Source organism: Homo sapiens, chromosome 11 (genome assembly GCF_000001405.40).
Source record: "Homo sapiens chromosome 11, GRCh38.p14 Primary Assembly".
Classification (NCBI taxonomy): domain Eukaryota; kingdom Metazoa; phylum Chordata; class Mammalia; order Primates; family Hominidae; genus Homo; species Homo sapiens.
Window position 1 is genome coordinate 60,513,144 of NC_000011.10, and position 16,545 is coordinate 60,529,688.

The 16,545-nt window shown below is 36.7% G+C and overlaps 1 protein-coding gene across 5 annotated transcripts in view, besides 1 other annotated feature; it reads left to right on the forward strand.

Annotated features, from left to right (window-relative positions):
• Nucleotides 1-2,248: 2,248 nt before the first annotated feature.
• MS4A13 (membrane spanning 4-domains A13) overlaps nucleotides 2,249-16,545 on the forward strand; it is a 28,033-nt gene continuing 13,736 nt past the window's right edge. For 2 of the 5 annotated variants that reach the window (XM_047427040.1, NM_001012417.3), the window contains exons 1-6: nucleotides 2,249-2,464; nucleotides 2,826-2,941; nucleotides 4,929-5,069; nucleotides 10,754-10,810; nucleotides 12,064-12,183; nucleotides 16,222-16,317. In XM_047427040.1, coding sequence (XP_047282996.1) covers nucleotides 4,941-5,069; nucleotides 10,754-10,810; nucleotides 12,064-12,183; nucleotides 16,222-16,317 — 402 coding nt within the window. In that variant the 5' untranslated portion in view covers nucleotides 2,249-2,464; nucleotides 2,826-2,941; nucleotides 4,929-4,940. The remainder of the gene's footprint in view (nucleotides 2,465-2,825; nucleotides 2,942-4,928; nucleotides 5,070-10,753; nucleotides 10,811-12,063; nucleotides 12,184-16,221; nucleotides 16,318-16,545) is intronic. The other 3 variants (XM_047427041.1, NM_001278320.2, NM_001100909.2) reach the window with 2 other exon arrangements.
• Nucleotides 15,922-16,071: a silencer, noted in NCBI's record as "silent region_3372". NCBI's record gives its function as "represses an Ori minimal core promoter by ATAC-STARR-seq in GM12878 lymphoblastoid cells {active_cell/tissue: GM12878}" and the evidence as "EXISTENCE:reporter gene assay evidence [ECO:0000049][PMID:35858748]".

The following is a 16,545-nucleotide window of genomic DNA, read 5'->3' on the forward strand; positions in this document are numbered from 1 at the left end:
TTTATAAGCTGTGTGACTCTTAACTTCGCCAAACCTTAGCATACTCATCTGTTAAAATGAAAATAACAATGGTATGTACATCATTGGCATGTGGTGAAGTTTAAATAAGCAATATAAGGTACTTAACATATTGCCTCAACATAGTAAATGAAAGGGAAAAAAAGCAAGATAAGTTTAAGCTATTAATTAGCATTTTACTAAAGAATAGTATATAAGTGATATAGTAAACATATGAAAACTGAAATCTACTATATATATGTGTGTGTACCAGCATATATATATATACCTACATACATATAGATTATACCTTACATAAATATACATATGTATGGACATTGCATTTCTACAATGAATTCAATTGTTTAGTTTCCCCAGTTTGCATAGATTTCCATTTTACTTTACTAGAACACCCTAGTGTTTACACAGAGGAAACATCTGTTTTCTCTAGTGTATAAATAAATAAAATTCCTCAAAGAAATCTGGACAAGTTATTTTATCAGGGCTCACAGCCAACAGGGTCCTTGTAATAATCCCCAACAATGGTTTTAACAACATTATATAGGCATTGTGGTTCCAGCACATTTTCACTAATGTCTTTTGTATACTGGGAACTAATTCAAGAGAAATTAACAATATGATCCACATGGAGAAATAAAAGTCATATTGGATGTCAAACCATGACTGATTGATTGCCTCTTCATTGCTGAAGAATACAGTTTTTAACAACCAAAGGATAAAAAATTAAAGTGAATTCTGAATTTCCAAATCCAGTTTATAGGTACTGAGAAAATCAATGTTGCTTTTACTGATCTGTGATATTAGCAGAAGAAATAAGATGTACCAAGGAACCATGCCTGTCTCATAGTTTGGCTCACTCTTCTATTTTTGCCTATGTTTATACTGAAAACACATTTTGGCCCCAGTCCAAAAAAATGACCAAATCCATGATAATTTCCAGAGACTGTTGGCCAAAGCTTAAATGAAGAAATATGTCACTTCTCTCACAAATAATCAATCAGTCTTGGCAGCAAGTTACAATAGCGGTCCATCTCATCAGAACTGGCTCTTACTACTATGGATTCTAAAAAATCCATAACCCTGAGGTTGAAGACACAGTTCCTCTTTCTACAGCAAAGAGAATGCTTAATATTATCGGAGCCCTGTCTGCTCATAGACAAGGAACTCACAAAATAATAATAATGCTAGAAACTGAAGTGGTATATTACTTAAGAATAAAACTATTACCTTCAATGACATACTGACCAATACAGAATGTAAAGACTTTAGAAGAGGCTGGGCTTTTTTTTTTTGTTTTTTTTTCCTTTGATTTGAGGGGACTTTGGAGTCTCAATGTAAGGAAGCTAGCTGTGAGACTAAAAATTAAGATTCTCAATTTACAGTTGATTTTTCAGGCTATAAAAGATCTTGATGGCTTTTAGACACACTCATGATTTAGCTTTTTGCAAATAAAGGTGTTGAAAGCATAGAAAATTTCCTTATGAAAGAAAAATCTGTCTTGTTTTCTGCGTGTTTTACTCACTGGCTATCATTGACTAAAAATTTACACTACAAGCTGGAATTTTAACTATTCCACAATGTCAATTTAAATTTTCCATGAATAAATGAGAAATGCCATTGAGTGGCTGTTCTCCAGGTACTTTAAACGCCTCAGTAAGTCATGATAGCTGCCTAAGAGGATGGTCTGTACTGCTCATCTAAAGCACCTCTTCATAAACACTGTTTTAACTACTGTCTACACCTCAAACAGAAAACTAACACCACGTGTCACCTAAAAGGTAAACCCGCCTCAGCAAGTGGATCAAAAAGTCATTCTGGTGTCTTGTTAAGTATTACTTTCATCACTAATTTCCTTCTTCAGTTACTTATGTTTAAAGAAAAAAAAAGTGAGCCATTGATTTAGCCACTTCACTCGAAAGTGCACCTTCCAAAGGTGCTCTTGTGGTCAAAATTTTTCTTTGAAGACAGAAAAGGTGAAGGGCGGACTTCTCCTCAGTGATCCTGGTCACTGTGCAGCAGGTGGGTGTATAAGAAATGCACCAATATGGGCAATCTCAGAATAGAGGTTTGCAGAAACCGTTCCTAGAGGCACCAAAACGTAGTTAACCGGGTGTCTGACCACATGGCTGCCAGGAGCCTAGTGAGTCTGCGCACACGCACTACCTCCGCCCCGGCAGTTCCTGAGTGGGTGCGCAGGCGCAAGAGGAGCACACCGTTGCCATTGCAGACCGTCACTCCCTGAGGAGCCTGAGAGCCGGCCGGGTGCTGGGCTCCTGGCTATCCCTGTGATGGTAGCTCAGCGAGATCTGGGGACCTGGCGCTGAGCGCGTTGCCAGCCGGGATCTTCCTCTTCATCTAGGCCTGGGCGCTGGCGTGAGAACTCGGACTGGGTCCTGGACGAGCGCCCCCCGAAACTCCTTGGAACCTTGAACAAGTAAAATGCAGGGTAGTGATGTCGCTTTGCTGGAGTGCTTTCGTGTCAGAAGCCATAAAGGGACACGGAGGCTGATTACGGTGTTCCTCTCCCTATCATACTCTGTAAACAGTAGGCACTATTTACTACTCAGAGATGATAGCTGTAAAATGCCGATATGTTTTAGTCATAGAGAGAGACTTTTCAGTTATGAAGGCTGTTATTCAGAACAGATGGATGAAAGTTGATGCCTCTAATATTAAGGCCTAGAAAGAAGAAAGAAGGCTATTGCTTCTGAATTTGGAGAGGTGGTGACTGAACAATAAGGAAAGGATCAAACTTACGTATTTTCTTCTAAGAAAATAATGTATATGTGCTTTGTACTGTTTTGTAGAAGTTTGCTAATAAAGACATCACCAAAGGTTAAAGAGAAAATCATCTAGAGGAAATGCTGGCAGTATGGCATGTGTTCTTTAACAAATCTCTACAGCAGATTCTCTCGTTTTAGGGGTAAGATTTCACTTTGACTAACTAAATTTAAGATCATGAACTATTTCATTTTTTTAACGGATATATTGGATCTAAAGGGGGACAGACTTGGTTAAATCAAAAGGGTAAAAGTTTTTTTTTTTTCAAATGTTGATTGTCTTCTACAAATTTTGACTGATCTCATGTTCCTTCATGTGCTGAGATATGGGGATACAGACTAAACCAACACACACAGGATAATAGAGAAATCCAAGTAAGGTTTAAAAGGAAAAAAGAGAGTACTGCACTTACATTTATGCAGTAGGATGATTATAAATTTGTCTCTTCTATTAAGTTATAAACATGTGAAGTTACAGTTTAGCTTTCTTAATGAACACCAAGGAATTATGAGTATCATGCTTTTTCACATCCAAAGGGGAGAAAACATTTCCACTCGTGAACTTTTCTTCTGAATTTGAATGTTGCATAGATCAATTATCTAAGTCGCCTATACGACTGTTCAGCAGAGGTTCTTAACCTCTTTGGGGTCACAGACCATTTTGGCATAGAATGAAAACTCTGAATCTTCTTTCCAGAATTATGTACATGTCACAATCCTTCGCATTTTTTTTCCCTGGGGGCAGGGGGTAGGCGGGTCTGACCTCCTGGAACTCATATTGATTCTAGATTAAGAATCATTTTTAAATAAGAAAACCTATCTTGTCCTTCTCCACACACTGGCAGTTCTTAACAAGCATTGGCTAATTAGCTATCTCATGGTTTTATATAAAACAATAGTCAATCATTTAAAAAGAGATAGTACTTTTCAAGCTCACTTACTTTTTTAACAGTTGGGAAAGTCACATGGAATCACTATTCTTGACACCAGTATGCTTATATAAGAGGTATTTGCTGGATGCCTTCTCTATTCTGGGCACCATATTAGAGGCTGGTGATAAAACAATAAAAAAAAAAAAACTCCAGGCCCTAAGGGATTTTGCAGTCTAGTGGGAGATATTTCTCCAGGCAAATCCAAAGAATTTCTGGAAAATTACCATTCTTGCAAATTTGATGCAAGGGGAAACGTTAAATTCTAAATCTATAAAAATGCATGATCGTTACCAAAAAAGAGACTTTTTCTTAAAAAAAAAACAAAACTTCTCCAAAATGTATTTTTTAAAGTTAGCCAATTGCACTTATATATTTCATAGACTGCCTGCTTTGCAAAGAGCTGGAACTCTTAAAACATTAAATAGCTTTCTGTTTAAGTTTATATGAAAATAAAATTTATGTGTCCTCTGTCATTTTTAAAGAGTAATCAAAAATGTGATTAAATATATGAAATATCAGTTCACATATAAATTCAGAAATAAATTTGCTGGGATTATAATTATCTTCTTACAAATTAGAGTTGAGTAATAATTCTCCCCTATTCAAAATCCTTCCCCTTTCCAATGGGAAAACCGAGTTCAAGCGAGTCCATTTTGGATATTTTCTGTATTGCTGTGTTGGATTATGCCCCACTCCAGCATACTTGTGAAAAAAATCATACCAAATACTCCTTGAAGGAAAAGATAAATCAAACCTTTATAAAATTCAAAAAGTGATTCATCTTTAATAAATTACTAATGTACAAGAAAATGTTGGATTTATGGCTTCCTGCATTATAGTAGATTAGTAACCACATTTTCTCTGAAGTAACCCCAATATTCTCTCATACCATTACTTGATAGGTAGGGAGACTATCCAGTGATAGAATCAAACTGTTAACTTACAGGAGAATTGGCCAGAGCTACTATTATTGAACAGCCTGTTGCTTTCAGTATGACTGATTCCTATTTGGTAAATCTCAGTCCTTCCTGATCGGTCCTTTTTTCTGGGATAACCAATCCAGGAAATACATCATTAAGTGCATTGCTGTTTTACTTTTGTATTTGTAAAGGTGTTAAATGCTTCTTATAGTTAACACTTATTGGAATTGTGTTTTAAATTACATTATTTCGGTACTAACATAATTCTCTTCTCACAGACTATCCAGATTATGATTGGCATCTTTCACATTTTCATGTGGTACTTTCTATTGGTTTTGTATATGGGACAAATTAAAGGAGCCTTTGGAACGTATGAACCTGTAACTTACAAAACAGGATGTACTTTATGGGGAATTTTTGTGAGTAGAATACATATATATTGCTTTAATCATACAATAAATAATATTCATGCCAATAGTAGAAGGTAGGGAACGGTTTCTGAACAAGGTTTTCAGGAGAATTATGTAACTAAATCCCATGTTGATAATTTATTCAAAGTCAGATTCCTTTTTTCAACAAATATATATTGAGCACCTTTAATTTACAAGTGCTGTTTCAAGAGATATGGATACAGGAGTACACAATGACAACCATAGGGCAGTTTGTCCCTAGATATGTGAAAGGCAAAGAATCTTAACTATAATATCCATTAGCATGATTAACTTGCATGTTTATTATCTTCACTTCAGTCTCCTCACCCAATGAGTCAGTACTCATTTTCTAAATTTTTCATTACTAACACTCTCCTGTGGTTTCTAGATAGCCATTAGGTAGAGGAAAACCTGGAGAGCATGATATCCTGGAAGCCAAGTGAAGAAATTGTTAGAAGAAATGAGGAAGGATCAACTATATTATATTTTGTTGTTTTGTCAAATAAAATGAGGACTACGAATTGACCATTGGATTTAGCAATATGGAAGTCAGTAGTAAATTTTACAAGTAGTTTCAGTGGAATTGTGAAGCAAAAACCTGGTAGGAGTTGATTTAAGAAAAAAATAGGAAGAGAGGAATTACAGACAGCAAACAGGAGCTTCTTTAAGGACTTTACTGTAATGTGGTATAAAGAAATGGGGTGATAGCTGGGGAAACTTGGCTCAAGAGAGGGTTTGCTTATTAGTTTCTGTGAGTTGAAAGAAACAGCATCATATCCTTTGTTGAGAGGACTGAACCAAAAGAAAGAAAATTGATGATATGAGTAAATGGGGGTGGGTATTGGGATCAAGTATTTGTGTAGGCAAGAGGTGATGGATTTTGATGCACAAATAGCTAGGAGCATAGAAAGTTTATCTAGGGCATGGTTCTCAGCTAGAGGCAATTTTGCCCCTGATAACATTTTATAATATCTGGAGATATTTTGGATTTTCACCGCTGGAGATGTACATCAGATGGGCAGGGGCAAAAGATGCTGCTAAATAGCCTGTGATCCACAGGACAGCACCTCACAACAAAGAATTATCCAGTCTAATTATAAATGGTTTCAAAGTACAAAAACAGAAGGGAAAGGCAGAGAAAGGAGAGTTTTCTTTGATAGGATGTTGGAAGCCTGTGGAAGTTTTTTTTTTTTTCCAGTAGCTTCAAATAGCTCAATGAATTAGGAAGCAAGATTATGAGCTGAGATTGAGTATGGGGAAGTGGTTTGGTTGTTTGAGGAAAGGCAAGAGAATATGAAATAATCATCGAGGAAAAGTGAGAGTGCACAGATTATGGAGAGGTGGTTTTATTTTCACACAGCATTAAGGACATACTTGAGGTTTAGGAACAGGATATGAATATGGGTTGTATGCCTTCCTCAGGCCATGTTCAGCTGCATGAGTGCAACCATGCAGTAGGATAAAAACAATCAGGATCTTTGTTTAGCTGTGCAACTATAATAAAACAAGAAAGGTGCAAAGCAATTGCAAGTGGATATAGGGCAGTGTTTGTAATGGTTGGCCATGAAATTTAAGTTAGTGATGGAAAGAAGAATTTAACAGAGAGTTGAAGTTCTCAGATTATAGACCCAGGTGGGGTCAAAGGGTTGTTAGAATTTTAATACTAGAGGGCATGAGCTAGAAAGATAGCAGGTGATGATCAGGTGGAATACTTGAAATTAAGATTTGAAAGGTACAACAAGGACAAGAGAATGATTATGGGAGTGAGTGACTAAGATAGTTTGGAGTCAGGGATTGGAGGAGAGAACAAGAACCACAAGCCCAAGGTATAGAAAGATGATATGGTTTGGCTGTGTGTCCCCACCCAAATCTCATCTTATAGCTCCCATAATTCCCAAGTATTGTGGGAGGGACCTGGTGGAAGATAACTGAATCATGAGGCTGGGGGGGTGGCGAGTCATTCCCATGCTGTTCTCATGATAGTGAATAAGTCTCACAAGATCTAATGGTTTTAAGAAATGGGAGTTTTTCTGCCCCTGGCCCCTCCTAAATTTCATGTCTTCACATTTCAAAACCAATCATGCCTTCCCAACTGTCCCCCAAAGTCTTAACTCATTTCAGCATTAACTCAAAAGTCCACAGTCCAAAGTCTCATCTGAGACAAGGCAAGGTCCTCTCCACCTATGAGCCTGTAAAATCAATAGCAAGTTAGTTACTTCCTAGATACAATGGGGGTACAGGCTTGAGTAAATACAGCTGTTCCAAATGCGAGAAATTGGTTGAAACAAAGGCTACAGGCCCCATGCAAGTCTAAAATCCAGTGGGGCAGTCAAATCTTAAAGCTCAAAAATGATCTCCTTTGACTCCATGTCTCACATCCAGGTTATGCTGATGCAAGAGGTGGGCTCCCATGGCCTTGGGCTGCTCTACCCCTGTGGCTTCACATGGTGTAGCCCTGATCTGGCTGTTTTCACAGGCTGGCGTTGTCTGCAGCTTTTCCAGGCACACGGTGCAAGCTGTCAGAGGATCTACCATTCTGGGGTCTGGAGGATGGTGGCCTTCTTCTCACAGCTCCACCAGGCAGTGCCTCAGTAGGGACTCTGTGTGGCAGCTCCGACCCCACATTTCCCTTCTGCCCTGCCCTAGCAGAGGTTCTCCATGAGGGCCCCGCCCCTGCAGCAAACTTCCGCTGGGCATCCAGGCAGTTCCATATATCCTCTGAAATCTAGGCAGAGGTTCCAAAACCTTAATTCTTGACTTCTGTGTACCCGCAGGCTCAACACCACATGGAAACTGTCAAGGCTTGGGGCTCGCACCCTCTGAGGCCATGGCCCAAGCTCTACATTGGCCCCTTTCAGCCACAGATGAAGCAGCTGGGATTCAGGGCACCAAGTCCCTAGGCTGCACATAGTACAGGGGCCCTGGGCCCGGCCCATGAAACCACTTTTTCCTCCTAGGCTTCAGGGCCTGTGATGGGAGGGGCTGCCATGAAGATCTCAGACATGCCCTGGAGACATTTTCCCCATTGTCTTGAGAATTAACATTCAGCTCCTCATTTCTTATGCAAATTTCTGCAGCTGGCTTAAATTTCTCCTCAGAAAATGGGTTTTTCTTTTCTATCACATTGTCAGGCTGTAAATTTTTTTGAACTTTTATGCTGTGCTTGCCTTATAAAACTGAATGCCTTTAACAGCATCCAAGTCACCTCTTGAAAGGTTTGCTGCTTAGATCATTTCTTCTGCCAGATATCTTAAATCATCTCTCTCAAGTTCAAAGTTCCACAAATCTCTAGGGAAAAATGCCACCAGTCTCTTTGCTAAAACATAACAAGAGTCACCTTGCTCTAATTCCCAACAAATTCCTCATCTTCCATCTGAGACCACCTCAGCCTTGATTTCATTTTTCATATCATTATTGGCATTTTGGTCAAAGCCATCTGACAAGTCTCTAGGGAGTTCCAAACTTTCCCACATTTTCCTGTCTTCTTCTAAGTCCTCCAAACTGTCCTAACATCTGCCTGTTACCCAGTTCCAAAGTCACTTCCAAATTTTTGGGTATCTTTTCAGCAGCACCCCACTCCTGGTGCCAATTTATTGTAATAGTCCATTTTTATGCTGCTAATAAAGACATACCTGAGACTGGGCAATTTACAAAAGATAGAGGTTTGTTGGACTTACAGTTTCTCATGGCTGGGAAGGCCTCACAATTGTGGCAGAAGGCAAGGAGGAGCAAGTCACATCTTACATGAATGGCAGCAGGCAAAGAGAGAGGGCTTGTGCAGGGAAACTCCCATTTTTAAAACCATCAGATCTCATAGGACTTATTCACTATCACAAGAACAGCATGGGAAGGACCCGCTCCCATGATTCAATTATCTCCCACTGGGTCCCGCCCACAACACATGGGAATTATGGAAGCTACAAGATGAGATTTGGGTGGGGACACAGAGCCAAACCATATCAAAAGATCAGACAGATAGATAGATAGATAGATAGATAGATAGATAGATAGATAGATGTATATATATAGATATATACACACATATATATGTATGTGTGTGTTTGTGTGTGTGTGTAAAAATCACCAAATATTAAGTGATGTTGGAGAGAGAATCAGAGAGTCAAAATTTCAATTCATTCGAAAAGAGGAATGGCCAAGGGGTCAATAGATTACTTAAACCATGAAGGATAGTGAGTTATAGAAACTGACATGTGATTCAAAGGTGGAGGAGAAAGAATGGTTGGATAGCAATAATGAGCAAGGAAACCACTTATCCCACACTTCGAACAGATGGAATGAGGGCTGTAGGATACAATATGGCTGCCCATTGAGACAGCAATTAATCACTAGAAGAAACAATGATCTCTAGGAGGTCTCCCACTTTTATACATACACTAATTCATAAGTGTCAATGGATTGCCTTGAAAAAATAGGAGAAAAATATTGAATTTTTGCACAAAATCCAGATAAATGATACATGGTTCATAAAAGATGAATGGCTCATAAATAATGCACTGGTTCATAGGTGATAAATGATAAATGATGCACTGGGTCACAAGTGTCAAAGCACTACCTTAAAAAAGAGGAGAAAAACTGTGGATTTTCCAACAAAATCCAAATAAATGATGCATTTTCCTTAGTGTTTGACCACTCATATTATAAAAATAGTATATTAAACTCCTAGGATAACTTATCTAAAATTTCAACTAAATGTAATTTAATACTAAACTTCTCACTTAAGCCTAAACTTTGAAAGGCATTTTGTAAAACACATAGTAATCGAAAGATAATCTCATTAGAGAGCACTCTAATTCAAAATTCACAAGATATTTTCACTTTAAATTCTGAGCTAGTTCTTACGTTCACTGTGTACCTCCTTAGAAATCTCAGCTTTTGTTGTGGAATGAAGTGCTGAACAAATAGATTTAAAATTATCCATGGGAAGTTTGTAAGCTTCAGGTTTGGGCTTCCTACATATAGTGTATAGCATGACAAAAATAGCCTTTGACTTGGATCTTTAGTGTCTTATCAATAAAACAAATAAGGAATACTTTGAGGAAATTGTGCAACCCATCTTCAAACAATATGGCATAGTTTTATACTTCTTGGAAGTAGACAGACTTCCTGACATGAAATAATGGAACCTCTGTTTTAAAAAACAAAGGCAAAGGCATGAATTTCTGCCATTACCTTAATAATGACTACAATCTCATAAAAGAGACTGCATATTTTGTACCATCACAATATGGAATAGATTCTTGAACCACTTTTTCCATATTTGGATATGTACATAGTAATCATAAGTAGTGTCATCATCTCATTAGGAAGGATAACATTAAAAGCAATAATCAAATGAGTTATATATGATGTATCTCATACACATAAAAGCAAACTTGGTTCCCGGTCAGGACTGCTTAGGCTGTCTGGCATATTATCACAGTGTGAATCTGCCCACTGTCCCCTATGTGTCTCTGTTATGAGTGACTCTACTATTACCTTTCAATGTATTACTACATGATGTAAATTTGTCCTGACCCATCTACTAAAACTTCTGTATATTTTGTTACTATTAGCATTCTTAAAATAATTGACTTACAAGAGAGTTATTAAAAGTACATTCTAAATTGGCAAGCATTATCAATGAGTATTTATAAATATGTTTTTATATCCAGTTTATCATTGCAGGAGTCTTCCTAATAAGAGTAACAAAGTATCCGACTCGATCTGGAGTAAGTTGAAATGTTTGAGGTATCTCTAGAAATCACTTATCACAAAGCTAAATATTAAGTTTTAATGAAAATATAACGTCTAAACAATGAAGGAATCTACCCTACCTGTAAAGTAAATGAAAGAATTAAGAATGAATCTAGAAGAACATAATTTAATATAGACAAATATACTGTATTGGTTAAAATCATGATTACTTTATGTATAGGTTTCTAAATGTATATATAGTTTTTGTTTTGTTTGATGTTCTGCCTTTTAACATTGTGTAAACTTTATAATTAAAAAATTTTAATAGGACCTAATGCCTTTAGATATAGACATTATACTACTGTAAAACTTCATTTTCTGAACTATCCAGTTTGGGAACAAGATTGTGTCCTGTAACAAAGTACAGAATTGGTCCAGATTAAAGATCCATGCATGGTATAGGTGGATAGAATTGGGAAGAACACTTTAGAATCTTAGAGCTAAAACGTACCTTAGAAATTAGTCTGCCCTCATAATTTTACAGATAAAAAAATGATGTCTGAAGATACTGATAGATTTCCTTAGATAATGAAAACCCAGGATTAAAATTTTATCAACTGACTCCTATTTCTACAAGCAGTCATTTTCCACTTTTTTTTTTTTCTTACAGTGGAACCACTTTTGTCCAAATCATATCTTATATGCTTTCTTCCAAATGACCTATAACATTGAAAAACACAATACTTTTTTTTTTTTTTTTTTGAGATGGAGTCTCTCTCTCTCACCCAGGCTGGAGTGCAGTGGCACAATCTCGGCTCACTGCAAGCTCTGCCTCCTGGGTTTACACCATTCTGCCTCAGCCTCCCAAGTAGCTGGGCCTACAGGTGCCCGCCACCAAGCCCGGCTAATTTTTTTGTATTTTTACTAGAGATGGGGTTTCACCGTGTTAGCCAGGATGGTCTCGATCTCCTGACCTCGTGATCCACCCGTCTCGGCCTCCCAAAGTGCTGGGATTACAGGCGTGAGCCACTGCGCCCGGCCCCAAAAAATACAATATGTTTTAGCCTAAATGGAAGATTAATGATTAATGGACTGATGGTGTTAATGTTTCCTCCAGATTAACTGGGCTTCATATAAATCAGAAAAATATTTTCTTAATATTTAATACTTCTAAGACTTCAGAAACTAGATCAAAGTTTTAACTAGATGAGTTTTTTCAGCAATGCAAACTATTACACCAAAATGTTTATTCTGAATATAATAAATTTGCCCTCTGTCTCCTTTTCAGATTATAAGTACTTTAATCATAAACATCATCTGCATAATTACTACAATTACTGCAGTAACTCTAACAATAATAGAGTTGTCTCATTTTAATTCTGTGTCATACAGGAATTATGGACAAGCAGTAAGTGACCAATTCTATGGGAACATATTAATTTTAAAATTATTCTTTTTAATAATTTTGAAATCTTAGGAGGTAAGATGAGGCTTTTATTCGTCCTCATGAAATTCTTTGATTTAGTTGTGAGCTCTTGATTGAAAATTTTAAATCAAAAATAATTCTAGGCTGTGAGTTTTAGTAAATATTAAGAGAATGTTTGAATTCTTGACTTGCTGAATTAAAGTGAGTAAAAATTTGAAAGCTTCAGTGGCAAGTGTCTATGTATTAGGCACAGAGCCACTTAATGATTCTCTTAATACAAGAAAAGTATAATCCTGGACAATAAAACCATTTTGCAAATAAACAAAAGAATTCTGCTACTGACACATATGGTTCAAATTGTAGACACCTAGTAATTTCTGGCTTAACATAGAATTTTTCATACATAGCCTATCTTTGCATCTTACATAAATTTTGCTTTAAGGCCAAAAATGCTAAATATAAATAAACCTAACTTGTTTCCATTTAGTTGCCCAGTAAATGTGAAGATTTTTACTGATAACACAATAGTTTTATTTTAATTATATTGGCTTTAAATTCAGAATCATAAAATATTAGTGGGGCAAAAGACCTTAGCAAAGTTAATACAAAATCTCACATTTAAAGTGAGGACAAATTGGAGTGAAACACCTTGTCTGACCAACAGAACAAAACAAATAACAATTTCAGTAATGAGTAGAAGCGTCATTACAGGTGAAGGATAAACTTCCTCCTCCTCCCCTACACACTTTCACTCCATACCTGTGACATATTATTAAGGGGGACATCAGAGGAAAGAACCCAAACCTGGAGAACAAAACCCTGGAGGACAGTGATACAATAATAGAAAAATGCACTAATACCCCAAAATATATTATCTGTAACAAGTGATTATGTAAACAAACATGGACCAGATTTTCCCTATAAATTATAAGAAAATTGTCCAGTTGCCCTGAACATTCAATCTAGAAATCTTTAGTTCTAATTTTGAGGGCAGAGAATAGGAAAGGAGGACTTAAGTTATTAAGTGCATAATTGTTTCAAGTTATATGTCACCATTCTTATTCATAAACTTTTAATTATCAGTTTAATATGGCATAATTGCCAAGGATTGCCTTTTGCAGTCAGTGTGACAAACTATTGTAGTCTGTATTTATCTGATCTGAACTCAATGATAACGACCAGTTTTATAGTCTCTCAAAATCACAAGTTCAGCACAAGTTTGCTGTGATTAGTTACACAAAATGAGCTTGTATATTAGACTTATATCTCAAAGCCACCATCTTTTTCTAGTGTCATTACAGAATTATATACTTACACTTGCTAAGGCAGCCAACATTTTACAGGACTTTTACATGCCAACTTTTCTCACATAAGCAAGGGGCTTGGCTAAATCTACAAAGTCATCAAGTTTTCAGTGTTCCCAGGCAGGGTCAGAAAAGTGCATGCATCTGAAATATACTCCTCATATAGCAAAATGGTTAATAGTATAGATTCCAGGATCAGAGTGCACTTATTTAAATACTATCCTCAGTACTCACTGTGTGTAAACCCCTGGAAAAGTTTCTTAACTTAACTGTTTCCAAGTTTTCTTTTGTGAGAAATGAAGAAAATGCCTGCTAGTTAACTGCTCTGTTCTTTCTTCCAAACTCCCGGCCTGTTGTTTTAAAAGCTAGTTTGACTTTTCTACTTGGCTATGTTTCTATCACTATTATATCAAACTCAACAGATATAAAATGGAAATTACTTACCTCCTCAGAAGTACTATACTGCAAGACTCCCTCGTTTCAATCTCCCACATACAAAACCTTGACATAATACCTCATCTCTTTCTACTGTCTTTATAATTACCAAATATTGCTTATTCTTCATTTAAGTATTTATTAATTAGGGTTATCTTGGTTTTAAGTAATAGGAAATACAACCCAAGTTGACTTAAGGCAAAAAGGGTCACTTACTTTACTTAAGCTGGGTCCAGAAGCTTACAGTTTACATCATCTGCCAGGAACTCATTCATTCCGTCTCTCTCTCTCTCTCTCTCTCTCTCTCTCTCTCTCTCTCTCTCTCTCTGTGTGTGTGTGTGTGTGTGTGTGTGTGTGTGTGTTTCCGTTTCCTCAGTTTTCATATTTGAGCTGCTCTGGCCAACCTTTTGCCGCTTTCAGTCAGGGAGGGAGTTTTAGAATAGCACTCTCATATAAATTAAAGAATATGGGGCCAGGCACGGTGGCTCACGCCTGTAATCCCAGCACTTTGGAAGGCCAAGGCAGGCGGATCACTTGAGATCAGATGTTCGAGACCAGCCTGGCCAACAAGGTGAAACCCTGTCTCCACTAAAAATACAAAAGTTAGCTGGGCATGGCGGTGGGCACCTGTAATCCCAGCTACTCCGGAGGCTAAGGCACGAGAATCGCTTGAACCCAGGAGGCAGAGGTTGCAGTGAGCCGAGATTGCGCCACTGCACTCCAGCCTGGGTGATAGAGCGAGACTCAGTCTCAAAATAAATTAAATTAAAAAATTAAAAAAAATAAGGAATATGGGTAAAATGACTTTTCACAGTCTTGTCAGCTAAGAGGTCCCAAGTACTTTCTAGCTAAAATGTTATGATTATGATTGTGCATTTCTGCCAACAAAAGTAAATCAAAATTATTTACCTTGGTATTTCAAACTTTCTACATCTTTTCCTTATCCTCCTGTTTATATCATATATGAATGAACACTGTAATTCAGTTAAAACCTGTTTTTCATTTTCTCAAAATGTTATATTGCTTACACTCAGTTTTGTTCTCACATTAAAAACCATAGGTTGTTCAAATATGTATTTTAGCTTTACTCTACTGGTTGTATTTTATGTCTCAATTTTTAAATTATTTTGTCACACTTTTAATTTATGCTATTAAACTCTTTCTGAAACAAGATAGGTTACAAGGAAACAAGCAAATAAAAATTTAAAGTTGCCTAGAATGCTGTTTCCTTCCTTCGTTTTTCTCAGTCCTACCCTTATTTCAAAGGTCCTACCACTTTATGAAGCCTTCCCAGAGAGTAATAGCTTGGAGTGAACCTCCTGTCCCTCCTGTCCCCTATAATGATTGAGCAAGTTTTTATCCATTTTTTATGGTACCTTATATTATCTTTCTGTCTCTTCTACTTCATTATAAACTCTAAGAAATCAGGAAGTTATGTGTCATTGCATTCCTATCATCTAATTCCTACTACCAGATAGTTTCTTGAATATAAAAGATATTAAATAAACCAAACAAAGAAGGAGGAGGAAGAGTTAGAGAAGGAATTGAAAGGGAGAGAATTATGATGTCATTCTTTCTAGTTCTGAGTATCATTCTTGTCTTTCCACAGCCAGCACAAAACCCACATTTTCAGGATGAGTACCAATATTATTCACATAACTAACCAATCGGATTTGTAGTTGAAAATATCTTTCTGATAGCAACAGAAGGGAATCTGTTTTATTTATCCCAGCAGTCACAATCACCTTATGCTTCCAAGTTAAATGTTCTTTGAACTCTTTTTGAATGTATTAATCATTTTAAATGATATTAGAGCAATATATATGTGAGAGTTTTATCACCATGTATGTAAATTTAAGAAGGGTTGTGATTAATAATAGCTGTTTTAATAGAAAAGGATTGCTTGATAAATCTGTTGGTGGCCATCTTATCATTAGAGACAGGAAAGTCAAATCTTACTAACTGGAGAGTTTAGATAGTGAGCTGTGCCAGCGACTCTGTAAAAGCTGTCAGAAGTGAGACAAGAATGCTAAGCAATGGAGATCAAATGCAGAAGCCACAGATGCTGAATTGAGGAACTGAAAGCTAGGGAAAGTGTAGCAGAGGGCAAAGGAGTAGAAATGTCTAAGGAAATCAAATGGTGAAAGGTTTATCTGTTCTTATTTTCCTTCCTTTTTTTTTTTTTTTTTTTTGACTCTCATACCAGTAGCTCCTTCCATGATCATGTTTGCACTCACTAAAGATAATAGCATTAAGATTTCTCCCTGTTTTTTGGTTATAGAAACTTGGGAGGGAAGTATCACGTATTTTACTGTTCTTCTACGGTTTGGAATTTTCTATTGCACTTACACACTCAATATACAGCTGTTCCAATTTGGTAAGTGTTTACCCACTCTCTGGCAAATCAAAAGATGTTGATTTCTAGTAACTACACTCTATGAGAAGATGAAGTGCACTGATACAAAATATTTAGAACTAATATAAATGGAATGTGTGATATTGCCTTTATTTTTTATTTTTGTTATTTTATAAATAGCATAAAATTATAACAGTAATACATGAAACTACATTTAAAAGCAAAAAGCATATAGAGTAAAAAGTGATT